At 36.4% G+C, this 25,379-nt stretch overlaps 1 protein-coding gene and 1 long non-coding RNA gene across 5 annotated transcripts in view; both read left to right on the forward strand.

The window, feature by feature from the left end:
• The window catches only part of NLK (nemo like kinase), a 163,398-nt gene that overhangs the window by 84,804 nt on the left and 53,215 nt on the right, over window positions 1–25,379 (forward strand). For all 4 annotated transcript variants that reach the window (XR_934482.2, XR_001752526.3, NM_016231.5 and 1 more), the window contains exon 3: window positions 5,140–5,195. Coding sequence is in view for 2 of the 4 variants with exons in the window: in NM_016231.5 (NP_057315.3) it covers window positions 5,140–5,195 (56 nt within the window). In the remaining 2 variants the exon portion in view is untranslated. The remainder of the gene's footprint in view (window positions 1–5,139; window positions 5,196–25,379) is intronic.
• LOC105371711 (uncharacterized) lies at window positions 15,812–24,811 on the forward strand. Its single transcript, XR_007065686.1, has 2 exons — window positions 15,812–15,936; window positions 16,560–24,811. It is a non-coding gene; the product is annotated as an uncharacterized LOC105371711 (long non-coding RNA).

Raw genomic sequence — 25,379 nt, forward strand, 5'->3', positions numbered from 1 at the left:
GAGTTGGAAAAAGCAAAGGATGATGTAGAGGTAGGTTACTTTTCAAGGAATTTGGTTTTGTTTGCTGTGTGCCTAAAGTTTATAGTTCTAGGCAGATTACTGTCACATTTAAAATAATACAGTCTCCCATGTTAATGGATTGGAAGACTCAATGTGATTGATAGGTCTTTTCTTCCCAAGTATTGCTATACATTTCAGTATAATCTTAATCACAGTCCCAGCAAGGTTTTATGTCTATATGCGTATGGAAATTCACAAACATCCTGAAACTTATGGAAATGCAAAAGATACAAAATAGCCCAGACAATCTTAAAGAAGTTAAATAAAGTTAGAAATTCATACTACCAAGTATTGAGACTGTTGTCCAATATTGAGACTGAATCCCAGGAGCAACAGAAGGTATAAAGCACAAGATATGGAGCCAGAACAAGGATAGACAGATAGATTAATGGAACAGAATAGAAAGTTTGTAAACTGGCATACTATATACATGTTCACCTGATTTGCAAGAGAGGTGCCACTATAATCCAGTCGGGAATGGATGACCATTTCAATAAACAGTTCTGAGTCCGTGAGATATCCATATTAAAAAAATTAACCTTAGCCATGTACCATATACATAAATTAATTCAAAATGGATCATAGACTTAAATGTGAAAGGTAAAATAATAAAACTCCTAGAATAAAACATAGGCAAGTATCTTCATGACTGAGATAAGCAAAGATGTCTTAACTGGACAGATAAAACACCCATAAAAAATTGTTTAATTGGACACTATTAATGTTAATTTCTATTAACATTAATGTTAAGAACTAAATGTTCAATTAAGAGAATGAAAAGACAGACCTCAAACATATATCCAATAAAATACTTGTTCCCATAAAATATTATGGGCTAGAACAATTTTTAAAATATTCAGTGTTTGAGGAAGACAATTAGAAATAAATGTTTTACTTGATATTTTTCAGACTGAGTTATATATCTAAATATCATATGTAAAGACCTTCTATAAATGAAGACGTTTTGCCCAAAGACTTAATGAAAAATTTCACGAAAGAGGATAACATATCAAAGTGTTCAAAGTCATTATTCATCAGAGAAATGTAAATTAAAACGACATTGAGTTAACACTATGTACCCAACAGATTGGCTGAAATTAAAAAGACTGACAATACCAACTGCTGGCAAGGACATAGATCAACTGAAACTCTAATCCATTGCTAGTGAGAGCATAAATTTGTAAAACTACTTCAGAAAACTGGCAATTTGTACTAAAGCTAAATATACACCTACCCAATGACCCAGCAATTCTATTTCGTATACACTCAAGAGAAATGAATGCATATATTTACTAAAAGAGTGTACAAGAATGTTCATAGCAGCATTACACATAATAGGTAGCAATTGGAAACAATATAAATGTCTGCCAACAGCACTCTGAATAAGTACTTTGTGATATAGTCCAGTTCAATAATAGCACAGTACACAACACCAAAAAGGATAAACCACTGATTCACACAGGAACATGAATGAATCTCACAGGCATAACAGTAAATGAAAGAATCTATACACAAAAGACTTCACTCTTTATTATGCAGTTTGTGTAAAGTTCAAGAACACACAAAATGAATCTTTGGTGACAGAAGTAAAAACAGTGCCAGGATGGGTTTTGACTGAAAAAAGGGTAAATGGGCTGGGTGCAGTGTCTCATGCCTGTAATCCCAGCACCTTGGGAGGCCAAGGTGGGTGGATCACGAGGTCAGGAGTTCGATACCAGCCTGGCCAACATGGTGAAACCCCGTCTCTACTAAAAATACAAAAGTTAGCCGGGCATGGTGGCGCATGCCCGTAGTCCCAGCTACTTGGGAGGCTGAGGCAGGAGAATCGCTTGAATCCAGGAGGCAGAGGTTGCAGTGAGCCAAGGTCATGTCACTGCCCTCCAGCCTGGGAGACAGAGCAAGGCTCCCGTCTCAAAAAAAAGCAAAGGGGCTAAAATGTCTAATTTCTTAACCTGGGTGGTATTTACATAGAAATATGTGTGTATATAAAAATGGATCAAGTTATACTCAGGATTTGTATACCTTATGCTACAACTCTATAAAAAAAAATAATAATGATATAGTCTCTACCGTAAAGAACTTAGAATCTATTATGGGGAGAGAGTGGGAAAAGAGTAGCTCCTTTGCTAAATGGGATTTAGCTGTGTTCCTTATATTCTTATTCTTATTCTTATTCTTGTCTTTGAGTCCTTGGCAGAGTAGAAACTCAGTAAATGTTGATTCTATGAATTAACAGATAAATTTCTTGTCTTTATAGTTAGGATTGAGATTATTCACAGGAATTATTTTATTGATAAAGGGCTGACTGAGACTAAGCTATTTTCTTATGTAACCAGTTTATAGTGAATCTTCTAACATCATGGAGGTTAAAATCCTAAAAAGCAGCTAACATAATGAGCTTTTGTGTTTCTTAAAAGATTTGTGACATATGCAGAGACACTGTTAAGAAATGTGTTTGGTAATGACTATCATTTAAAGACATAACTTTAATTCATTTTTTAATTAGACAAGTCTGCTTGTATTTTTTTGTATTTGAAATCCTTTGAAGAGTGTGGTATTTGAGGATACTTCAACTCTTTATAAGCCAAAGTCTTTACAAGCACGTATTTATATCTTAAGGCTAATCTCACATACTTTATTCCCTCAAATAATAGTGGGGCTTATAGAGAATCTCTAGCTATTTAAATGGGGTGTCAGGCATGAAGTCTGGAGTTTCGAACTCTGCCACTATACCTTCTCACTTACTCATTTACATTGCTTTTGAGATTCCTAGATCATTTCTACTGGTCTAAATACTGTTTTTACCACCTAGAAGCACTGTAGAATGCCATCCTCTGATAAACATTTTGGAGTAGAAAGAGCAGGAGGATAAAACAACAGGCGTTTAAAAAATTCCAGGCATAGTTTAAAATATTGTACCTTTTGAACTAACAATCACAGCTAAATGCTGTAGTGCAAATGTCTATCCCTGTTTTATATGGCTTTTTTACAAAAAGCCTCATCAAATATGGAGTAAGAAAGCCTCATTCTTCTCTATCAAGGTTTAATATGTATGGTTGTCACTTTCTTCTAGATAACCTCTAATTATAGCAGATAGATTTGAAGTGTAAAATAGCTTTGTATAATGGACGCTGTCACTCATTGCATTCTGTTTCCCCCTTAGACAGGATGTGTGTTGCTCAGATACAGAGTTGAGAGTCCGAAAGATGTCAAGTAAAACACTAATTTCTAACTGCCTTCCTCAGTTGTCAAATATTCATGTTAAAAATTGTTCTGGCACATAATGAGAAATTTGTGTGAATTTATTGGTTTAAAAAATATAGCTGGCTAATTATAGGTTTAAAAAATATATAGAAATGAAATAATGCATCTGTCATATGAAAAAAATTACTCTTCAAAGAAACTGGAAAATCTCTTATTTTCTGTTTATACCAAAATTCTAAATATAAACATTTTAATTCAAAAGGAAAGATAGATATTCCTTATAAAAACATCTAAACTATTTAAAAGCCTCCAACTGGCTTTAAAGTGAGTGAAGAATTTTTCATTACAGGAGGCTTTAATGCATAAAATAAATTTTTACTTAAAATTTATAGTGAGAAATGCTTGGCTGAAACAAGAATAACCTTTAAAATGAACCGGGTTTCTTCTACACATAAATTGCAAGAGGAAACGGAAAAGAGATGGTGGAGAAACCTTTAGATTATCAGTCATACTATGTAAATCTTATTTAGCTCCTGATTTAGACTAACAAACTTTTTTTTTAATATGAGAAAATAGAAAATTTGAGAACTGGATATTTGATGATATTTTTAAACACTTACATTTTAGATTTGATCATTGCAATTTTTAACCTTTTTTTCATTAGAGATACTGATTATGGCTGAAATAAGTTTGATATATGCTTGAGAATTATATAGGGAGAGTAAAGGGTAGAGATGAAATAAGAATGTTCATGTGTGTGAATAACTGAGGCCAGGTATTGATTACATGGGCATTCTCTATACTATTCTGCCCACTTTTATATGTTTGAAGTTCTCTGTAGTAAAAAAAAAAAAAAAAAAAAAAAAAAAATTTAAGCTACAGATCATAAAATTTGAACTAGTACCACACAATTTATTTCCTGTTAAGTAGTTTCTTCCATGTCCTTTGAGCTTGGTATTTCTCATTAGCTTAGCAAGACAGCTGGGAGGGGATTTGTTTGTTATGTTTTGATGGCGGAAGTTACACGGGTACTATGCTGCTTTTATAAAGGACTTGCGTCGTAAAGTCTTTTTTCCTCACCCTAGTGACTTCTTTTCTTACAAGAATCTTGGAATAAAATCAAAAATGCTTAGTATGATTTAAAGAGACTTTGTGTAGTGTATTTCATGTCTTCCTCTTCTACTTTATGTTAGTCTATTTTCTTCCTACCCTCTATATTCAATAAGCACTGGCTTTTCTGTCTCTAGAATCTGCCTCAGTGTCTTTACACTGCCTGCCCATCGATCAACCAACTGCCACTCAGCCTTCAAATTCTAGAGTAGTGTTACTTTAGGGAAGCTTTTTCTCTCTACCCTTCTTTACATTTTTCCTCCATAGTAATAGATGTTGTAATTACATATCTGTAACTGTTTAGTGCTTACCTCTTCTGTAGTCATGAGAGCAGGGATGATGCCTATTTTGTTCAACAGGATAACCTAAAAGCTTAGTGCTTGCCAGGTAGAATGCACATAGTAAAGATTTGTTGAACAGAGGAATAAAGGAATGAATGATAGATGTGGCTTCTCACGCTCTTAGAGTAACATTGATTGTTTAAAATAGGGTGTTTATTTCAAAAACTCTCTCCTGTGCAGGGATTTTGGTAGCGTGTGGTGTAACCCAATTGCCTCTCTCATTTTGTAAGTCTTTTGGATAGTAAGTGTACGAATCCATCTTAATGTTTAGTACTGTGTTTCTTGACAGACGAATTTAATTTTCAGTGGGCAATTGTAACTAAGCTTTAAAGCATTAAAGAGTTGTTAGTATTTACTTGCATTTATGTCGAATTTTGTTTCCTTTTTTGTTCTCTAAATTTGACTTTTTTTTTCCTTTTCTCAGGTACTCTCTGCCCTTGACATACTCCAACCTCCACACATTGACTATTTTGAAGAAATGTATCCTAACCAGGGAATGTGAAAGAAGGGGACAATTTTTAAAATTAATTTGTTCTTCTAGCACCTTTTGGGGTTCATGCCTTCAAGTATTTTAAATCTCATCCTTGCAGAAGTGATTGAGTACCTGGAACCAGGTAATTTTGAAATCCTGTGTGTCTGGCAGAGCTCAGTATTATCAACATATCCTGTGTGGTGATGCCACAGAACAGAACATCTGAACAGATATTTAATCCCCACACAGCCTTATGAGATAGATTATTACCATCCCCATTTTGCAGATGAAACCAGTGAGGCAGCTGTGTTGTAGTAGAACCCAGGAAAGTGCTTTTACCACTATACAACAGCTGCCTGTCGGTTAAGAGAGTAATACTGCCCTTTATTATAACACTTGGGGTAAGATAGAAATTGTAGAATTAATGTAAGTTAAGTTGTCTTATGTTCCTTAGAATGATGGTGGTGGTAGTGGTGATATTGACATAATAGCCATTACTTATATAGTTTTTATCAGATGCCGGGCACAATTCTAAGCTCTTTACACATGTTTATTTAATCCTACAAACATTCTCTGGGGAAGGTATTGTGATTATTCCCATGTTACAGAAGAGGAAATTGAGGCACAAAAGGTAAGAAAATTGACCAAGATCACAGAGCTAGTAAGTGTGGGGATGGAGATTTGGTTCCAGGTATTCTGACTATGTAGTCTTGCTTTCAGCCCTTACCTATGTGATTCTCAGGCTAGAGCCCTTAACGTTCTCCTGTTACTACTGTTGATGTTTAAAAATAGTATGTTAGACATTGTGAATAATAATGAACTATAAAATAATGTTAAAATAATGCCTGGTGATAGCTCCATGGTAATAATAAAATAATGCATGGTAGTAGCTCCTGGGACTGTGCATGAAAAAAATTGAGACATAAGTTAACCTCCCTGACATTCCTGGGCAAAGTGTCACCAGTTTCCATTCCACATTTAACTTGGTAAAGCTTTAAATAAAAGACAGGAAATCCTAAGTCATTGATTTTGGTAAGCTCATGATAGTGCAGTTTATTCAAACTCTAGGCTTTTTTATTAATACTTTAGGCCTATGACTCAGAATGGAAACCAATGTAATAGTGAGATACTTTTTCTGATTCACCAGTGAGGTAATGAAAATCTCATTCTTACACAGGGGGTTGGTAATTCCATATGAGATTGTTATCTTTGATAACTTCCTAGAAAATAGGAACAATTAAGAGCTTCCCAAGAGAACTAAGCTGGGTAAGGATTTGGGAAACCTTATATGGTAATAGAATTGTCACTGATCAACACTGCTGGGATGTTTTGATCTTTTAAACCAAAAGCTCTTGAATGCTAGTCAGCCCTCCATAGATGTGAAACTGCATCCATGGATGAAAAATATTTGAAAAAAAAATAAAAATAAAAAAATAAAAAGTATAGTGGGCACAGTGGCTCACACCTGTAATCCCAGCACTTTGGGAGGCTCAGGCAGGGTGGGCAGATCACTTGAGCCCAGGAGTTGAAGACCAGCCTGGGCAACATAGCAAGGCCTCGTCTCTACCAAAAATACAAAAAAAATTAGCTGGGTGTAGTGGCACATGCCTGTAGTCCCAGCCACTCAAGAGGCTGAGGCAGAAGGATCAGCTGAGCCCGGGAGGTCGAGGCTGTAGTGAGCTGTGATCACACCACTGCACTATAGCCTGGGCGACAGAGTGAGACCTCGCCCTCCCGCCAAAAAAAAGTGATACAAATTAAAAAGCAATATAATGACTACTTACATAGTATTTATATTTTATTAGGCATTATAAGTAATTTAGAAATGATTTAAAACATACAGAGGATTGGATACAGGCTATATGCAAATACCACACCATTTTATATAAGGGACTTGAGCATCCATAGATTTTGGTATCCTCCAAGGGTCCTGGAACCAATCCCCCTTGGATACTGAGGGGAAACTGTAATCTTTGGTGATATTTTAATCCACAGATCCTTTATGGAGTTAATCCTTTTGTGCAGTGAAGGGTTATTGGACTTGGGGTGCCCCAGCTCTGCACATTCCAAAGAAAAGACTGTCCCTTGACTGGTTCCTGGCTGACAAGAATGTCTTTGTATAGCTGAAACCTTGAACCTGGCCAGATGGTTCTGACAAACTCTTATTTTAAAAGTACAAAATTAACCTAAGGGTAGAAGGATTGAGAAAGTTCTTTTCTCCTCAACTGTAGGTCAGTAGTAGCAACTGAGGAGAAAGCATTAATGATTCCATTTCATAGACTTCCTGAAGATTACCTGGGTCTTCATTGAAGAAAAGGAGAGAGCTGGTGGGAATGGATCACCACTTGTTTCATTCAGCAGAAGTACCTTCTTATACCTGGCCAGGAGCTACCCCTCTTTATTCTTTTTAGTTGGTGGGAAAGAAATCCATATAGTAGCATTCCTATCAGTGTGTAGTACTGTTTCTGTCTCTTTGGAAATGAAGTTGCTGAAACCAAACCTTAAAATTAGAAGAAATTTCCTTTATTAAATATGAATTTTGCTATATTTTAGCATGTGTTGGGGGTTCCCAAGACCACCCTCAGGCTCAGTGATTCGCTAGAAGAACTCACAGGACCCAGAAAAGCTGTTATTCCCTTGGTGTTCAAGGTTTTTATTGTGGGTCAGTCACATAGGCATGGAGCACCCATGTGAGTGACCTTAGCTGCCGAGTCTCCAGCCCTCCTTTTTCCCTTCCCCTCCAGAGGTCAAACTAATATGGCGTAGCCCAAGGCCCCAGACAAAGACAGGTATTCACCGTATATCATATTGTTAGCATAAACTATCTGGCATGCCCAAAGCCCCAGGTATACTAAGATACTATTGTCAGGTGGATATTGCAGTGGCCCAGAGGTTATTTCCTAGAAGTCAGGGGCCAGTCTTGAAGACTTTCGGAATGTGCAGGGTTTGGACAGCCCAGGTCTGCTGAGTTAACCCTTTACTGCACATAGGCCATATGTGAAGAAAGAATGTTTCCATGTAAGATAATTGGTGAATGTGGATATATTGAATAAATGCCAAAGATATTTAGGTTCTCTTCATTGAACACTTAGTTAATTCATTATATCCATTTTCTACCTTATAGTTCAGGCACATATTGTTTATATCAGGCATTAATTTTGGTACTTGGTTTGAAAACTGTGTATGTGCTTCTGTAAGATAAGAGTTCTCAGTCACTTATTATTATTGGCCATAATTTAATTGAGTCTAGGAGATCTTTGATTCATCATTATTTCAAATACTTACAAAACAGAGGGAAAGTTAGCATAGTTATGGTTTAAAACCATGAGTGATATAGGTTAGTAGCTGTTGGTAGCAAATTTCAACCCGTTTCATCAGTTAGAATGTTTCTTTGAAATTTTCCTCCTCAAAATTGTTCGCAGATGTTTAAGTAAAGAGCCTTTGTCAAAAAATATTCATGGAACCCTCTGGTATACCATTTACTTAAATGTTTTATTTTATTTCATCCTATCATATCACTTAATTTTTTAGCTTCAGGTTAAAAAATTGACACATTACTCTCACAGTAATTAGCTGACTACAGATGGAAAAATCAAATCTTTCAAACCTAAACTTCAGTAGTCTTCTGTTTTCTGCCTTATAATTCTTAGCTACATGTAGAAGTATGCATAGAAAAAAGGTAAGCATTTTCCAATAGTGGTGTCAATTGGAAAAAACTGAATCCTTTTAACATAAAAAGGAATCATACCTATAGCAGCCACAGGATTATAAAGACTTTTTAGGAAGGAATGATTTAGCTTGGAGTACAAGATACTGAAAACTTGTATTATAGAACAACTATTAAATGAAAATGTAAGAAATACCTTAGTTACATATATGTTCTGCCTTCACTGCTGATTCTTTTAGTGTCCTAAATGGGAAGTTTTCCATGTCCTTTGTTTTGTTTTGTTTTGAGACAGAATTTCGCTCTTTTTTGCCCAGGCTGGAATACAATGGCATAATCTCGGCTTACTGCAACCTCCACCTCCTAGGTTCAAGAGATTCTCATGCCTCAGCCTCCCAAGTAGCTGGGATTACAGGTGCATGCCACCATGCCCGGCTAATTTTGTATTTTTAGTACAGACGAGGTTTCACCATGTTGACCACGCTGGTCTTGAACTCCTGACCACAGGTGATCTGCCGCTTTGTTGGCCTCCCACAGTACTGGGATTACAGGCATGAGCCACTGTGCCTGGCCATGTGTCCTGTGTTTTTGATACAAATAAATTTGTTGTAGCCAAAGCAAAAAAAAAAAAAAAAAAAATTCCTCAGTTTCCTCTTTTTTTCTCCTTGAAAAATAAAAAACCTATTACCTAAAACATAAAAATATTAAAGATTAATAGGACCTCAAGTTACTATATGAATTCAGCATACTATATTATCTATGTCAGCAGCTCCCTCTGTAGTGTCTCCGAAATATGGCGCACACATTACAAATGGCTTTAGATGTTTTTTAATTTGGAGGATTATTGTGTCTACAGATTTTACAGTAGATAATATTTTGAATTTTAAATAAGTGATCCTGGAATTATGCTTTTAAGAAACTATTTTTGAGGTCTGTATGAAGTGCTATTGTTTTAGGCAAGTTCTTAGTATATCGTTATACATCTAATGGGTTCTTTAATACTTAGTTGAATGGGTCAGTACATCGAGTCAAAAATATATATTTATATTACTTAAGTTGTGAGGGAAAATAAATAATCCTAAGTAATTATCCACTGTACATAAAGTACCACATCATTACACTTTTTCTAAGATTAGAAAAATTGGGATATATATCACATATTCAAGTTTTAATAGACAAACATTTTAAACCAGCAGGCGCTTTTAAACCTAATATAATAGTTAATATAATTTTAGAAAATTTGAGTTCTGTGTGCATTTTGATGTAATCAGATGTAAAGTAAGAGTATCGGTGTATAGTATCATGCAGTTAATCATGTATTTCCTAAAAGAGACTGAAACTGTAATAAAATTATTATGCCAGTGCTCACCAAAAATTTAGTGTGGGTTTTGAAACACCATGCATTTTTAGATAACTCCTTGAAGCAACAAAAAAAAAGTCAATATCTAGACTGTAAGTTTTTATAAATCTGCCTACAGGGTTCAACAGATGTAGGGCAAGTCAGATGTGAAAGGAGCAATAAATTCTATCATGACCTCTGTATCTTTTAACTTTTTGTCTTCATAGTTTTTAATCTATCTAGGAAATATATTATTTAATAATTTTAAAGATTATATATTTTTCTGAGCTGATGTTAGCTTTTAAAGGATTACATTTTTCATTTTGTACTTTGAGTTTCTATTTGGAAATCTGTATGCAAACAGTTTGGTACTTAATTACTTTGAGCCTACTGAAATTTAAATCAAGAGAAACCAGTTCTAATTGTTTATTAGAAAACGGAGTTTATTATGCTTCAGTCAGGATTCTGGATGCTCTACAATGCACATTAACAGGCCCCTTCCCAGAAAGCACTAGTTACCTACAGGGTTGGAAATAAAAATTTGGTCTGCTTTGGGAAAAGCTTATTTTTAACTTGAAGCATAACTTAGCATTCTATGAAGACGAACATGGGTGGTGTGAGTCTTCTATGCTAGAAGCAATTACATTCTAAACTCAGTGGAAATGAGAAGTCTAGTGGAGTGTCCGTACACGCTGGTTTGTTGGGACAGTCTTGGATTTTACTTGATGTTCTGGCGCAATTATTGTGAAGTTCTCACTCTCAGAAGTGTCACTGTTTGGATGATAGGTTTTGCTTGTGCAGGCAGTGTTTTAAATAGGAATCTCTTGTCATAAAGACAGTGAGGAAACCTGTGTGTCCATTTCAGCCAGTAAGAGTCTCTAGTGCTTTGAAGCAGCTCTGTAACCCTCAGGGAATCTTAGGAGTCATTAAAAAACTAAGAACAATGGAAACAAAATGCATATATGCTTATGTAAGTGTACTCTTTCTTCAATAATGGTACTACTAAGGACCAGAAATCTATATCCTGGGAGCTTTGAAGATTCCCATATTGTAAGAACTTCCTATTCATTTATTGCATAAACATAAGCATCAACTGTGTTTCCACATTCAGGAAATTCTGTTTTATTCATTGTTACACTGCCAGTACTTAGAACAGTACCTGACATAAAGTAGGTACAAAATAAATATTTGGTAAATGAACCAATAGATGATTTCTGGTCCAGGTTTATAATCTAGTAGAGGATACAATCACATAAATAATGACAATAGTATAGGTTGGAAAGTATACTGATAGAAAAGAACTGGCCAGGCACAGTGGCCCATGCCTGTAATCCCAGCACTTGGGGAGGCCGAGGTGGGTGGATCACCTGAGGTCAGGAGCTCGAGACCTGTCTGGCCAACATGGCGAAACCCCGTCTCTACTAAAAATACAAAAATTAGCCGGGTTTGGTGGCACGTGCCAGTAATCCCAGCTACTCAAGAGGCTGAGGCGGGAGAATCTCTTGAACCCAGGAGGTGAAGATTGCAGTGATCGTGCCACTGCACTTCAGCCTGGGTGACAGAGAGAGACTCCATCTCCCCACCAAAAAAAACAAAAGAACCAAGGTATCCTGAGAGCACTGAGGGGTTCTGATTTTTACTCTTTCCCATTTTAGTTTCCTACTGAATTACTAGAAAATTCATTTGATGATTTAAAACAAAAACAAAAACTTTCACTTACCCACTATCACTGATCCTTTCTCCTTATCTCTGAAGCCTAGAACAGAAATTTAAAGAAAGGAAAAACCAAAGAAAGGTTGATAGAACAATCCAGGAACAGATAAATTCCTGACTTAACCACCATTTTTGTCAGTATCTGGTTAGCCTTGCTTATTCATTCAGCCAAACCTTTAGCACTACTATGTATATGACATTGTACTAACCTCTGGGATGAATACAAAGATGCATTGTTCATTTATTTAATTTTTTTAAAAATGTAATATGTGAGACCCTATCCTAAATTACTTTATTCATATCTCCAATTTATAGATGAAGAAACTATAGCTCAGAGAGGTAAATAACTTGTCCAACGTCACTTAGAAATAACAGAGCTGTGATTTGAACCCATATTGTATAGTCCAATGGGCCAGGAGTGCTCTCAACCCACCATGCTCTGCTGCCTCTTAATGCTTTCCCTGAAGGAAGATACTACAATCAATGGGGCAGAGATGAGCTGTAAAGGGATAACTAACATGTGGTAGAATGTGCCAAAAGAATATAGTGAGGTAGTGTGGGACTTTAAAAGGAGAGATTACTTCAGGCAGAAAAAAACGATAAGGAAACTGTGTGGAGAAAAGACATTTCAGTTGAGCATTGATGGATGAGAAGGATTTGGACAGGTAGCATTGAAGAGGATAGATATTCCAGATGGTGAGAGTAAGTATCAGGAGCATAATTAGGGAATGGTAAATCATCTAGTTGGCCAGAGTTTGATATGCAGAAATAATGAGAAATTAAGCTAGGTGGGGCCAAGTCATGGGGGATTTTGAATGTTGAACTAAGGAAATTGGTCTTTATTCAGTTGACATTGGGCCCCAATGAAAGATTTTTATGATGAAGAATAACAGAATCAGAAATGTACTTTAAAATCTTAACAAGGAGTTTGTATTTGATAATGAAAAGGTTCTGGAAATGGATAGTGCTGATGGTTGCACAACATTGTGAATGTGCTTAATACCACTGAATTGCACACTGAAGCGTGATTAAATGATAAATTTTGTGTGTATTTTACCACAATTTTTAAAAAACACCATAACAAGGACCTGACTGTTGGAGCTGAGAGGCAGTGACTGTCGTGAAAGAAGAACAGAATGATGCTTGGCATTTTCCCAGATGGTTTTTCATGATGCTCAATGTTTGTTTTATGCCCTTTCTAACTTTACCCTCAGCAAAGATGTACCAGCAGGTAATACAAAATATGGTTGTTGCCATTACCTTTAAGGAGTTCATGGTTTAATAGAGATGATAGACAGTTTTCAAATAATTATAGTACCAGAATAATCAATTTTACAATAGAGACATTAACCAAATTGTCTTATGGATAAAAAAAAAAAACCTGCCCTGGACTCCTTCTCTACTCCCCTACCCCACCCCCCAAAAAAGAGCTGGGAAGACTTACCTGCAACTTAATAATTTTCATAGAATAAAACATGTTCAGTAGTCCTTCCTGTATCAATTCGTGTAAGAACAGTTACATATTAGTAGGATAAGTATATTTTCAATATCTCTAGTAACACTTTCATTTTTCCACAAAATTTTAATCCATGTCTAATTCCTGTTCATGGGTCCGTGTAACCCTTTTTGCATAGCTTTTCTAATTAAATAACAATATGAAACAGTGCTAATAGATGGCACAACTAAGTGCATAATAGAATATTCATTCTGTAAGAATTAGAAAGTGGGTACTGTGAACAAATGTATTAGGCACTATGTTGTATCATCTATCTAGACAGAGGAGGGAGATCCTTTTAAATGGACCACTATTTTATTTCATCTCTTTTCAACTCCCGTAAAAAGTACTCAGAAACAGACTCTTTGATATACTTTTCCTAAATTCTTCTTGTAGATTTTTGTTCTCTGTTTATTTTGAATCTTCTCTGTTCTTCAGAACTGTTTCTTTTAGTAACTTTGTCTTTTAGAATCTCCAACCACAAATGAGCTACACTGGTGATGGGTAACACTGAGTAGGTAAGGACTAGCATCTGTAGATTGATGTGTTTAGAGACTTGCCCTCCATTCAAAATGCTGTTGCGGTTGCTTGTAACACTGGTAGCAGTCTGCTCTCAGGTTTTAATGACATCATTTGTGCAGCTTTACAGTAGATCATACTGGAGTAAATGCTCTCAAATTCTATTGAGCAGAAGGACATTTGACACCAAATTGTCTAGATATGGAAGTAAGTTTTTCAGACGTGTTAAGGAAAGGTTACTTGGGTCTAATTTGAAAGCTCATTGTCTTTTGGAGAAAATGTTAATATTCATTGTATTGGCAGTAAGAAGGACGATGAAGTTTACATGACTGATATGTTCATCCCTTACCTTCTGAATGCATTAAGAGATCATCGAAGAATTTGCCCTTTCTCTTCATGAATGAAGAAATTGATACAGTAAAATGTTCCTAATCTATATAGAGGCTCCTCTTTCAAATTTGGTTTTTTATACTCCAAAAAACAGTGACTATTCCAGTCACTTTGGCTTCTGTTCCTCAGCTCTTAATCTCTGGGTTTATGTACATATGCATTTGCTTTGGAGGGTTATGACGGTGGAAGATTAATCACCAGTCTCTGCCATCTATGTTTGACAGACACAGAGCTTGCCTTGCCTTCTCCAGAGCACTTTGTAAAGGAGAGAGCTGAAGTTTAAAATAACATCATTTTCTCTAGAATGCTCTTCTTGTTTTATTACATACATGGTTATAGCCTTAGTGAAAAATACTCATCTGACAGACCTTATGGACTGTAACAATATGTAGAATGACAGCTTTCCCGCTTTTTTCTTTTTTTTCTGGTGATTGGATTGATTTTTTTTTAGTCAGTTTTAAATTACAACTGAGGTAGTTTTAATTTTTGACATTCTATACAACAAATTTGTTACTTTACAAAGAAAAAGAATCTGCCTTTGCCTGGGAAAGAGATTGTCGTATTCAAACGTTTTAACAACATGACCTTTTATTCCATTGATTTCTATAGAGAAGCACAGGCATGCTTCAGAAAAGGTCAGTGATTCTAATTGAAGCACACCGATTTTTTTCTAGTTGCAAAGGCTCCCATGCTTTTTGTTGCAAAGAAGATGATGAGATTTACGGCTGACCATTTGTTACAAGAGAACACAATGCTCTCTGTGACACATTGCTGTTTTTCTTTCATGTGGAAAGCATTGTTTGAAATCAACCATATCTGTAAACCAGATTGTCATTATCCACGCTATTCAATGCCCTCACTTTTATTTCAGATCAGCCAGTTTCATATCTGAGTACTAGGCTGAAACTTCCTTCCCCTGTGCACCTGATTTTGGAAGAAAAAAAAAACGAGCAGGAGATTTTATTAAGTCTCACACATTTATGGCTGTAGATTCTTTTTTCAGACAGGAATGGCAGGATTTCAGAATTTGTGCTTAAGGTGCCTAAGCATGTTAGTGTTTAAAGTGCTTAACTGTGTTATTGCTTAAGCATGTTTTAACTGTCATTCATATACTTGTCATAAGAGAATCTGTGGCTTGAGGGGGCCAGGCTTGGGCATCTATGTACTACAGTTTATTAAACCAAATTTACTATGTCTTTTGGAAAAGTCACCTGACTCATATTTGTTCCAATATATGTCACATTGAAGATGAAAACTTTTTTTTTTTTTTTTTTGAGACAGATTCTCACTCTGTCACCCAGGGAGAAGTACAATGGCATGATCTTGGCTCACTGCAACCTCCACCTCCTGGGTTCCAGCAATTCTCCTGCCTCAACCTCCTGAGTAACTGGGACTACAGGCACATGCCAGCACACCAGGCTAATTTTTGTATTTTTAATAGATACAGGATTTCACCATGTTGGCCAGGATGGTCTCGCTCTCCTGACCTCATGATCCGCCCGCCTCGGCCTCCCAAAGTGCTGGAATTACAGCCATGAGCCACCATGCCCAGCCAAAGATGAAAACTTTTAAAAAAGGATTGTAGAACCTTTGACCAATATGGGACCTACTTGATAAATATTTAATATTGTAAGATTTCTTTTTTTGTAATCTGGCTTAGCATTAGTTTCTGTCCATATTAAATGAAAAAAGAATGATTAAGTTTCCATTATCTGAAATAGTAAAGAGAGTTTAGGAATTAAAATAGGGTTTTCAAAGCTTTCTGTCCATATTCATTCTGTAGGAAATAATTTGATACAACATGTTGCCATTTTGTTTTCCCAACTCAGATAAACCAATTAAATATCTTTATTTTGCTATCTGAAAGTTTTTAACGCATCATTAGAACGTCATACAGCATCAGTAGCTCATTGCACTTGGAATATTAAATATGTTCTCAGACTTCAGTTGAGCAGGGAAGCCAGCCCACTATCTTTCTGAACTCTAGATGGCAAAAGCTTTTGACCTGATAGTTTTTTACATAAGACAGTATCACAACTTTTCACACATACGCACAACTTGAACTGTCCACAATGGTTAGCTGTCTGTTATTAAAAGCGTTTATTCAGCAGTGCCTTATTATGACATATTTATACAACACCTTGTCATCGGTAAGCATTTATTTGTAATACTTTGTAAATTCTCCCAGTTCTTATTGACTCTCTAAATGCTATGTAATGAATCAACTTTATTTTTCTTCTTTTTTTCTGAAGGGTGTGAAAAATGTAAGTCATAGACTATGTTGGCAGGCCTGAACATGGGAAGATAGAAAATTGACCGCCATCTACATACGACATAATTTTCTGCTTCAGCCTGAGATCCCAAGAACCACTCCCCTTCCTATGCCATGTAGTAAAACTCACATCACCTCTTTTAGTTCATTTAAAAGGCCTTCCTGTCTGCATAAAGATGATTTAGTGTGTAGCAAATCCTGAGATTGTTTTAAAGCACTGTTTAAAGTTCAAACTCAACAGCTGGATTTTTTTTCCCTCTGCTTTGAAGAGAGTCACTATAGTTGGAACAACTTATTCACGCTAGCTCTTTGAAACACCTGTGTTCCAGGTGAAGCCAAAAAAAAAAAAAAAAAAACTAAAGCTTGAATCTAGTCTTTTCACCTCTCCATTAAAAAATAAATATATCTCTAAAACTTCCCAGCTGGTGGGAATGAAATGCTGTCAGTGCTCCCAACTGTTAGAGGGTAATATTGAATAATAACAAAGCCACACTTAATTTGAGCTTCTGAAAAGCCTCATAACCTCATTATCATTCTCCTGAACTGCTTAACCTTCTGGTTAACCTTCTGATTATTAACCTCTTGACATACTTAATTCAGGTGTGAGAGTTTAGCGAAGCTCATGGGACTGTATTTATTTGATCTTTTTTGTCATGTCCCACTGTGTTGACTTTATTTTTTAAGATTGCTAGACACCAGGAGGCATGTGTTAGGTGGAGACCTAGAGGTTTCAGAAGCCACTAAATATATCAGACTTGCCATAATTGGAGGATATGGTGAATCAGTGGGGCTTTTAGGCACTTCATAGACCAGCTGAGTCTCCTGCTATCAACCCAATTTATTTGAGAGCAGTACCTCAGGAAACTTAATAGACCTGTAGCACACTAGCACAAATCTGGATTTTAGCCAGAGTACAGTTTATTTATGTGCTGCTTGTATTATTTTGCTCTCTGCATATTCTATGCCTGTCATTATTAAGTATTAATCAAAAATATTGAATTGTATCTTTGGCAGTGGGTTTAAAAATTACACGTTTAATTGATAGTTTACATCACTTAGAGGTGGCAAGAGAACCAGATGGTAGAAAATAGGATCAGGTTGAAGTGGCATTTTTTTTACCAAAGAAAATATGATTTGCATGAGTAAGCAAAGTTTTGGGGTTTTTAATGTGTGCTTTTGTTTTGGGGGGATATGGGGACTATTAATCAGTTATAGAATATTAATCCTTTTCTGTAATTAGGGTTAAATATGAAGAATACTAATCTGATAGGTAATATTTATCACTCTGAGCTCAAGACTAAGAAACGCTTCAGGTTATTAACCCTTTACCAAAACCAGGAGTTACCTTCTGTAGAGGTTCTCAGAGGTCTCACAGAAACTAGTACTTTTAATTGTTCCCTCAAGTTCCCATCTGTCAAAAATATGTCCTGTAGAAAACCTTTCTTGGTGTAAGTCAAGGGCTTTTTGTCCTTTGAGTGAATGAGTAAACTCTAAAGGAATGTGACTGTCACGGACATGTTTCTTTGATGCCAAAAACCCTGCATGAGACCACATTAATAAAAAGTGAATAAAGTTTTTCTCCTTCTTCATTGATGATATCCTTTTGAGATGGCCTAGTCTTTCCTTTTGAGATCACAGTGGCTTAAAGGAGCATTTTTTTTTTTTAAAGACAGTCTCACTCTGTCACCCAGGCTGGAGTGCAGTGGCATGATCTCAGCTCACTGCAGCCTCCACCTCCAGGGTTCAAGGGATTCTCCTGCCTCAGCCTCCTGAGTAACTGGGATTACAGGTGCCCGCAACCACACCTGGCTAATTTTTATATTTTTTAGTAGAGACAGTGTTTCACTGTGTTGGCCAGGCTGGTCTTGACTCCCGATCTCAGGTGATCCACCCACCTCAGCCTCCCAAAGTGCTGGGATTACAGGCATGAGCCACCGCACCCAGCCAAAAGGAGCTTTTTTGAGTGGTTGCCAGTTTCTTTGTTCCTTATATTCTTTTGCTTTTTTCCCTGGGGAGAATGTTGGAAAGAAATAGGGGCACATTCATACATTTTGAAAAAGGCCATGGACTTTGATATCAGGCAGCTCTGAGTTCAAATCCTGATTTTTTTTCCTCCACTTACTAGCTTTTTGACCTTCAAAAAGTTACTTGATACTCTTCCCTAAGCCTCAGTTTCCTCAATGATAATGGAGATGATATTCTTACTCACAGTTATTTTAAAGGAATAAATGAATTAATGTACGTTGAACATTTGGCATACCACCTAGCATGTATTGATGTTTTAAAAAAAACTCATTTCCCCTCCTCCCTCATATAACGATGTTGATGATGATGATGATGATGATGACGATGATGATGATGATGATAGCAGCTACCACCTAAATCGTTTTCTGTGTGCCAGGCATTTATATGTGATTCTAAATCCTAGCAGTAACTCTGTGTAGTAGGTGTTCCTGTACCTGTTTTATAAATGCAGGAACAGACTCAGAGAAGTTATTTAACTTGCCTAATGTTATCAAGCTACTAAGTGGCAGAGTCAAGATTCTAACCTTGGTCATTTTGATTCCAAAGCCTACAACAAACACACCGCCTCCCACTGCTGAACCTGTTAACTCCTTATTTTAAAAATCAATTTCCAGGCCTTCTCCCTCCTGAAGTAGAATTGTTTTGTTCTTACCTCTTTTTTTAGTTTTCTATTTTTGAAGTTTACTTTATCTTTTGAAGGACAGAGTACAAGAACGAGGGCTGTGATCTAGTGCCACGTCCGCTGCACACTAAGACCTTTGACTAATTTCTTTACCTCTCTAAACCTCTTTGCTCTGTATAATGGGAACCCATAATGGGACTTACTTCTTACAGTAATTAGGAGTAGGTGAGGCAAAATAAATTTAAAGCTGGATGCCTAACACATAGAAAATTGCAGTAAATTTCAGCTGTTTTCAGTCAGGCTTCTTTGTTCATTTACATTAAAATCTTTTTGCACCTTCTTGCCCTCTCTCCTTGATTTTTACATGTCAATGTCAGTCTTTTTCCAACCTCTTGGCTGTTGCCTTGCATTCATCCATCTTTTTTCTCAGTCTTGTCATTGAGTTAACATGTTCTCTACACCCACTTAGTACCCAGTCAGTGTTTATTGATGCTAATGATGATGGTTAAACAAAGATGCTGTTGGCACCAGTCCTGAAGGCTCTGAGACTCCCTGAGTAATCATGACTTCCTAAAAACAGAAAAGTACTCAATCATCTTATTTATAATTGAAGGTCAGAATTTGATGTCAGCATTTGTTTCTGTGGTGACTGTGTAGCTTTTTCTGAGGAATTACCTTTGACAGTTGGGGTAGTCAGTATTTCTGGTGTGAGGCTGATTATTATGCATTCTTAAATTACTTCCTAAAATAGATGCAGCATCGTATAGGTGGGTTAAACAAATATTGATCATGGTACAGATCTGCTTTAATTGGAGCAAGAGGTCAGGAGAGGCTTATCATTGAGGTGTAGATGGCTGCCAGGCTCTAGATTAGTTACCTGGTCTTCTTGCCCATAATCTTTTTTGCGTCAGAGAAAATTGTACAGGCCTATTTTTAATTCTAAGCAACCCTCTCTGTTCTCTCCCTTTTTGATATCTCTAATATGTTCCCACCTAATGTCCTTGATCTTCAGAAGATGTCTCATTTCTTGCTTTTTCTTGCCTCAAATTCTGTCCTCCATGATAACGTTTTCTTCCTCAGCAAATTTTGTGGGAATCTAGCAGGATGTGCTGCTTGTTATATTTGGGCACTGTCCACTAACAATTCAGCTGCTGACACTGGTTGCATTATTCTAAAGAATGTCATGTTGTTAAGGTTGAATTTAAAACCCATTAATGGTGAGAAGCTTCCATAATTTTAATATCCAGGTTTTTTAATAAAAGAAGGAAAGAAATGGAAAAATAAATTTTAAAGATAAACTTTTATGCAAATGAAAAGCAGATTGTAACCAAATGCAAATAAATACCTCAGTGTGGCATATTTCATTTAGTAGAAAGTAGAAATTGTTAATTTTTACTGTATCTAATGATTCCCAAACTTATATTTTTAACTTTGATCTCCCATCAAAGGCCTGTCCTGTATTTCCAGCAATCTCTCATTTAGACTTTAAAAAGAAATCTGTAAAGGGCTACTAGTCCAAGCCCTGTACCCTGCCCCCACCCCCCCACAAAAAGTAGCCAGGAGTTCCTTTTTTTATATACACATGCACATAAACATTTATACACATTTATACATACGTATGCACTAACTTTTTAGTTCTCATGCACTTAAAAAATATGAGGGGATATGAATCTATTTAAGCATATATGATTCATAAGTGCAGGGAAAATGTTTCTTGTATCGTCAAGATTATTTTTATAATTTGACTAAAGAAGGGTAAGAGGTAAAATACTTGAAGGAAGTGAATACTCAGGAGGTTAGAAAGAGACACTGAGACAAAGAGAATGAGGTAGCAAAATTTGCCTCTTGATTTTTTTAACCTTTTTATTTTTCAGTCATTGGCCAAAAGGGTATCATTATTTGTCAGACATTTCTTCACTAGCAGTTTAGACTTGTTACGTGGAAATAGCCACAAGTTGTTATGAGGATTAAATGAGGTGACCTATGTTAAAAGTGGCACATGGTAAGCTCAAAAATACTTTTCAGCAAACAGATAAATCCTCTGCAAATGTGGGATTATTTCTTATTTTGGTTGTGTTCTGCCAGTAACAGAACTAAGACTAAAATTCAGGTGCTGGAAGAAATGAATAAAAGTACTTGGGTGGATTGAGCAGTTACTTCAGGTGTCTTTGGATTCAATTTCTTCTGAAAGGAAAGACTAAACCTCAAAAAGAGAAAAATTAGTTATTTAGCATAACCTGCTACTTGTGTTGTGGGGATTCATGAAATAGTTCATATGAAGTACTTAAAGAAGTGTCTGGCACATAGTGAGCACTCAATAAATGTCCATTTTATTTTTATTACTTTTCATGTTGTTGTTAAAAAACGTTTTTTTGAGACAGGGTCTTGCTCTGTCGCCAACGCTGGAGTGCAGTGGCAATCAGAGCTCACTGCAGCCTCGAACTCCTGGGCTTAAACTTAAAATCCTTTCACTTTAGGCACAAGTAGCTGGGAATACAGGTGCGCACCACCACACCCAGCTAATTTTTAAATTTTTTTGTAGAGACGGGATCTCTTTATGTTGCCCAGGCTGGTCTTGAACTTCTGGCCGTAAGCAATCTTCCTGCCTCGGCCTCCCAAAGTGCCGGGTTTATAGGTGTGAGCCACTGTATCTGGCTTAAAGAAATTTGTTAAGGATGAACCATTTTAGGAAACCAAATATGAGTGTATGTGTTTTTCATACAGTATAGATAAATTGCCAATTAGTTTGCACATCTAATTCAGAAATTTGTAGGTGCTGAAGAAAGCTTTTTTGTTGATGGTTTCTCACTTGTTGAAATCTCTTTAGTTATTGGAAATTAGTAATTCTAATTTAGAGATTTATCTCTTTAGAAGAATATATCTTTGTTGTGCAACTTTGTTGCTCTTATTCCTGGTGGCTCTATGATGGCAAGTCTGGCTTATTCAATTGAAAATCAGAACCTAAGGAGCTTTATGAGATGAATAGCCATAACAGTGTTGTAATCTTTGAGTGAATTGCAGTTGCTTGTTTAATTGTCTGTCTCCCTTGTTAGGCTGTTGAGTTTCTCAGTGAAAGCAGTGGGCTGTCTTGTACACCACTGCATTTCTAGTACCTAGATTGGCATCTTGTACATGCTGCTATTCAAAATTTGTTGAAGATTGAAGACAGTGACTTCTCATTTGGAAAAAACATGGCAAGGGAAGGAATACTACATTATGTAATACAATACTGATTTTCTGATTTTGCTTGAAGCCTGGTTTTTGCAGCATTCGAGTAATGGCAGTCTCATGTATTTCATTTTCTCTTTTAATAGTAAACAAATTGAGGTAATAGAACTTCATGGAAAGGGTCAGACTTCAGAATCATTACAATCTAGATTTAAATGCAAACTCTGTGTGGAGCAGCGTAACCTCTCCCAGCCTCAGTGTGCTTATTTCTTAAATAGAAATACAGCAGCTATAAAGTAGGTGTTATGAGGATTAAATGAGATCATATATGAAGTGGCACATAGTAGCTTCAAGTAAACATTAATATCCTTTCTCCTTTTCTTCTCCTCATAGCCCATAATTAAGAATAATTCAACTATTTTTTGTTTCATAGAAACCTGCTTATGGTGGTGATATTTGGTTAAGAAATTGGATTAGCAGACCTATAAAGGCAAGTTTCCACGGGAAACAGCTTGGTGGGAGTGGAGAGAGCACTAGACTAGGAGTCAGGAAACCTGAGCTAGTCTTGGCTTTTTACTGACTGGGAATGTGACCTTAGGTAAAGAATATAACTTCTCTAGCCCAAGTTTGTGTTTAAGTGATGTTCTCCAGTGACTAACATGAGAAAGCAGTAAAAAAGCTTGTAATATTGTTTTTAAAAATTAACTCTTTAAAACAATACAGAGACATTGTTACTTCTCTTGGGCACCTGAGACATCAGAGCTACCTCCTTCCCCCGCCCCCACTAAAACACTTGCATCATTCAGGTTTTTTTGAAGCAAATCAGTACATTTGAAATCCATATTTCATGGAGCTACTTAACTAATTGCTGCAATCAGCAGCAATTTGTTTTATAGTAGGGCTGTTCAAATCACTTTGAGGTTGGCATACCATGCACAGTGTGTTTTTAACAATCATATTTTTAATGGCACGTTTAAATAGGAGAGATGGTTAATCTGCTCATATTCTTCTGAAAACCTTAACTTTGGTCCTATAGTTTATCTTCATCCAATGGTAACTTAAAGGGCCATAGCAAATTCATTGACCCAGTGGGTACACCAGCTGTTGGAGTGGCTGTCCCATTTAGAAAGACCAGGAGAGGGAAGGAGCACCCTGTTTTCACTCTTGTTTGGAGACCCTCATTAAATTTCTCAGAAACAATAATCAGATAGATGCTGTTCAAGTTAATGGCACCTCTGAGTCCCTGTCAAGAGAGCTTTATTTAATGTGCAACAGACCTGGAGTGATGCAGGTGTCTTTTCAGGCCCTCATTTAATTTAAGCTGCTTTAGTTGGCATGGCAACTAGTTGAGACATCTGGGAGACATTATGCTGGGGATTGAGACTTCAGAGGATTTCTGCTAGAGCAAAGCAAAAACCGTATCATAAGGTGGTGTGTATTGCTTCTGAATTTTTGAAGCTGTATTGTTAGAGCTTCAAATTCAGGAATTATTTTCCAAAGAAAATTTTAAAATGTTGGCCTGGTTGTCTCATTGTTTTCTATAAAGAAAAAAACTGCATTATTCATGGAGTGAAAAATGTTTTTCCCCTAAGAATTTACTTTGCTAAACTAAAGGTTGACAAAACGTATTCTCTGCAAAGTGGCTGTTTTAATCACTTTATAAAAATCCTATATTTAAAATTTTCCAGTCTTTTATGTTTAAAAGATACTAAAGAAAGGGAAAGCATTTCTGCACAAGGGTAAATGGAAAATGGTAGAGGTAGATAGGAGCTCTGTGTGTTTTGCCCTGAACTTTCCAGTTAATTAAAGTTAATTAACCTGTCCCTATTTTTTAACCCAACCTGTCATCTTCTCAAGAAGCAGAGATATAAAAGTAGCATTATTTTAAACTCTCCTTTCTTAAACATTATAATAGATAATAGAAGGTTGAATGAAAGGTTTTTGAAGTTCATGGATCCTGAAGATAGTGACATAAGTGATGTAGTCATTTGTGCTTAGGAGAGGGAATGCCTGCTAGTTTATATTTTGTGAGAAATTATGTACGTGTGTATGTGGTCTTAGTATGAAGGAATTGACTTACCATTTGAAATCATGCTTTATATTCATTTTGAATACCTTTTCAGTTTTTTGATATCTGGTAATACTTTGCTCTGTGTTAGTTGAATTATATGAAAGTGTTACTGTTGATCAAAAATAGTTCAGTTTGTCCATTCAAATCCCACAGGTATAGGGTGAGCAACACCCTGACCTGATAGGTTTCATAATGCTAGATGAAATGTCAGATTTCTTTTTCTGAAACGAGTACTTAGTTATAAAATATCTGCTTAGAACAGTACTCCCTCCAGTCACTTTTCCATTTTCTCCTTTCTTTGAAAATGTAGTCACTGTTAGAATAAAGCATATGACATTATTTCATACTTACTCTGTTTTTGGCTTTTGTATCAGTTTGTTTCGTTTATAAATTTATAAGTCAAAGCAAGATTTTCCAAGTGCCAGCACTATGATTTCAACCTGATAAACTTGAAAATTAAGATGTTTTCTCTCCGCTGCTTACGAGCTACCAACTGTCACTACTAACAGTAAGGATTCTGGCATCACAACTTGGCTGCCAATTTTGTAGATATGTGAAGCAGAATAGAATATAACCTGTTCTTCGCATCCATGCAAGAACTCTTCAATCCTGGCAAAAGCAAAAAAAAAGTCAGTAAACTCAGCAGATCTGGCTGACATCCCATACACATAAATGCTTTATACTTTTTTTTTTTTGAGATGGGGACTCAACTCTGTCACCCAGGTGGGAGTGCGGTGGTGCAATCATGGCTCACCACAGCCTCGACCTCCTGGGCTCAAGTGATCCTTCCACCTCAGCCTCCCTAGTAGCCGGGACTACAGGTGCAGGCCACCATGCCCAGCTAACTTTATTTTTTTTTGTAGAGACAGGGTGTCATTAAGATGCCCAGGCAGGTCTTGAACTGCTGAGCTCAA

The sequence above is a fragment of the Homo sapiens genome, chromosome 17 (genome assembly GCF_000001405.40).
Source record: "Homo sapiens chromosome 17, GRCh38.p14 Primary Assembly".
Taxonomy (NCBI): domain Eukaryota; kingdom Metazoa; phylum Chordata; class Mammalia; order Primates; family Hominidae; genus Homo; species Homo sapiens.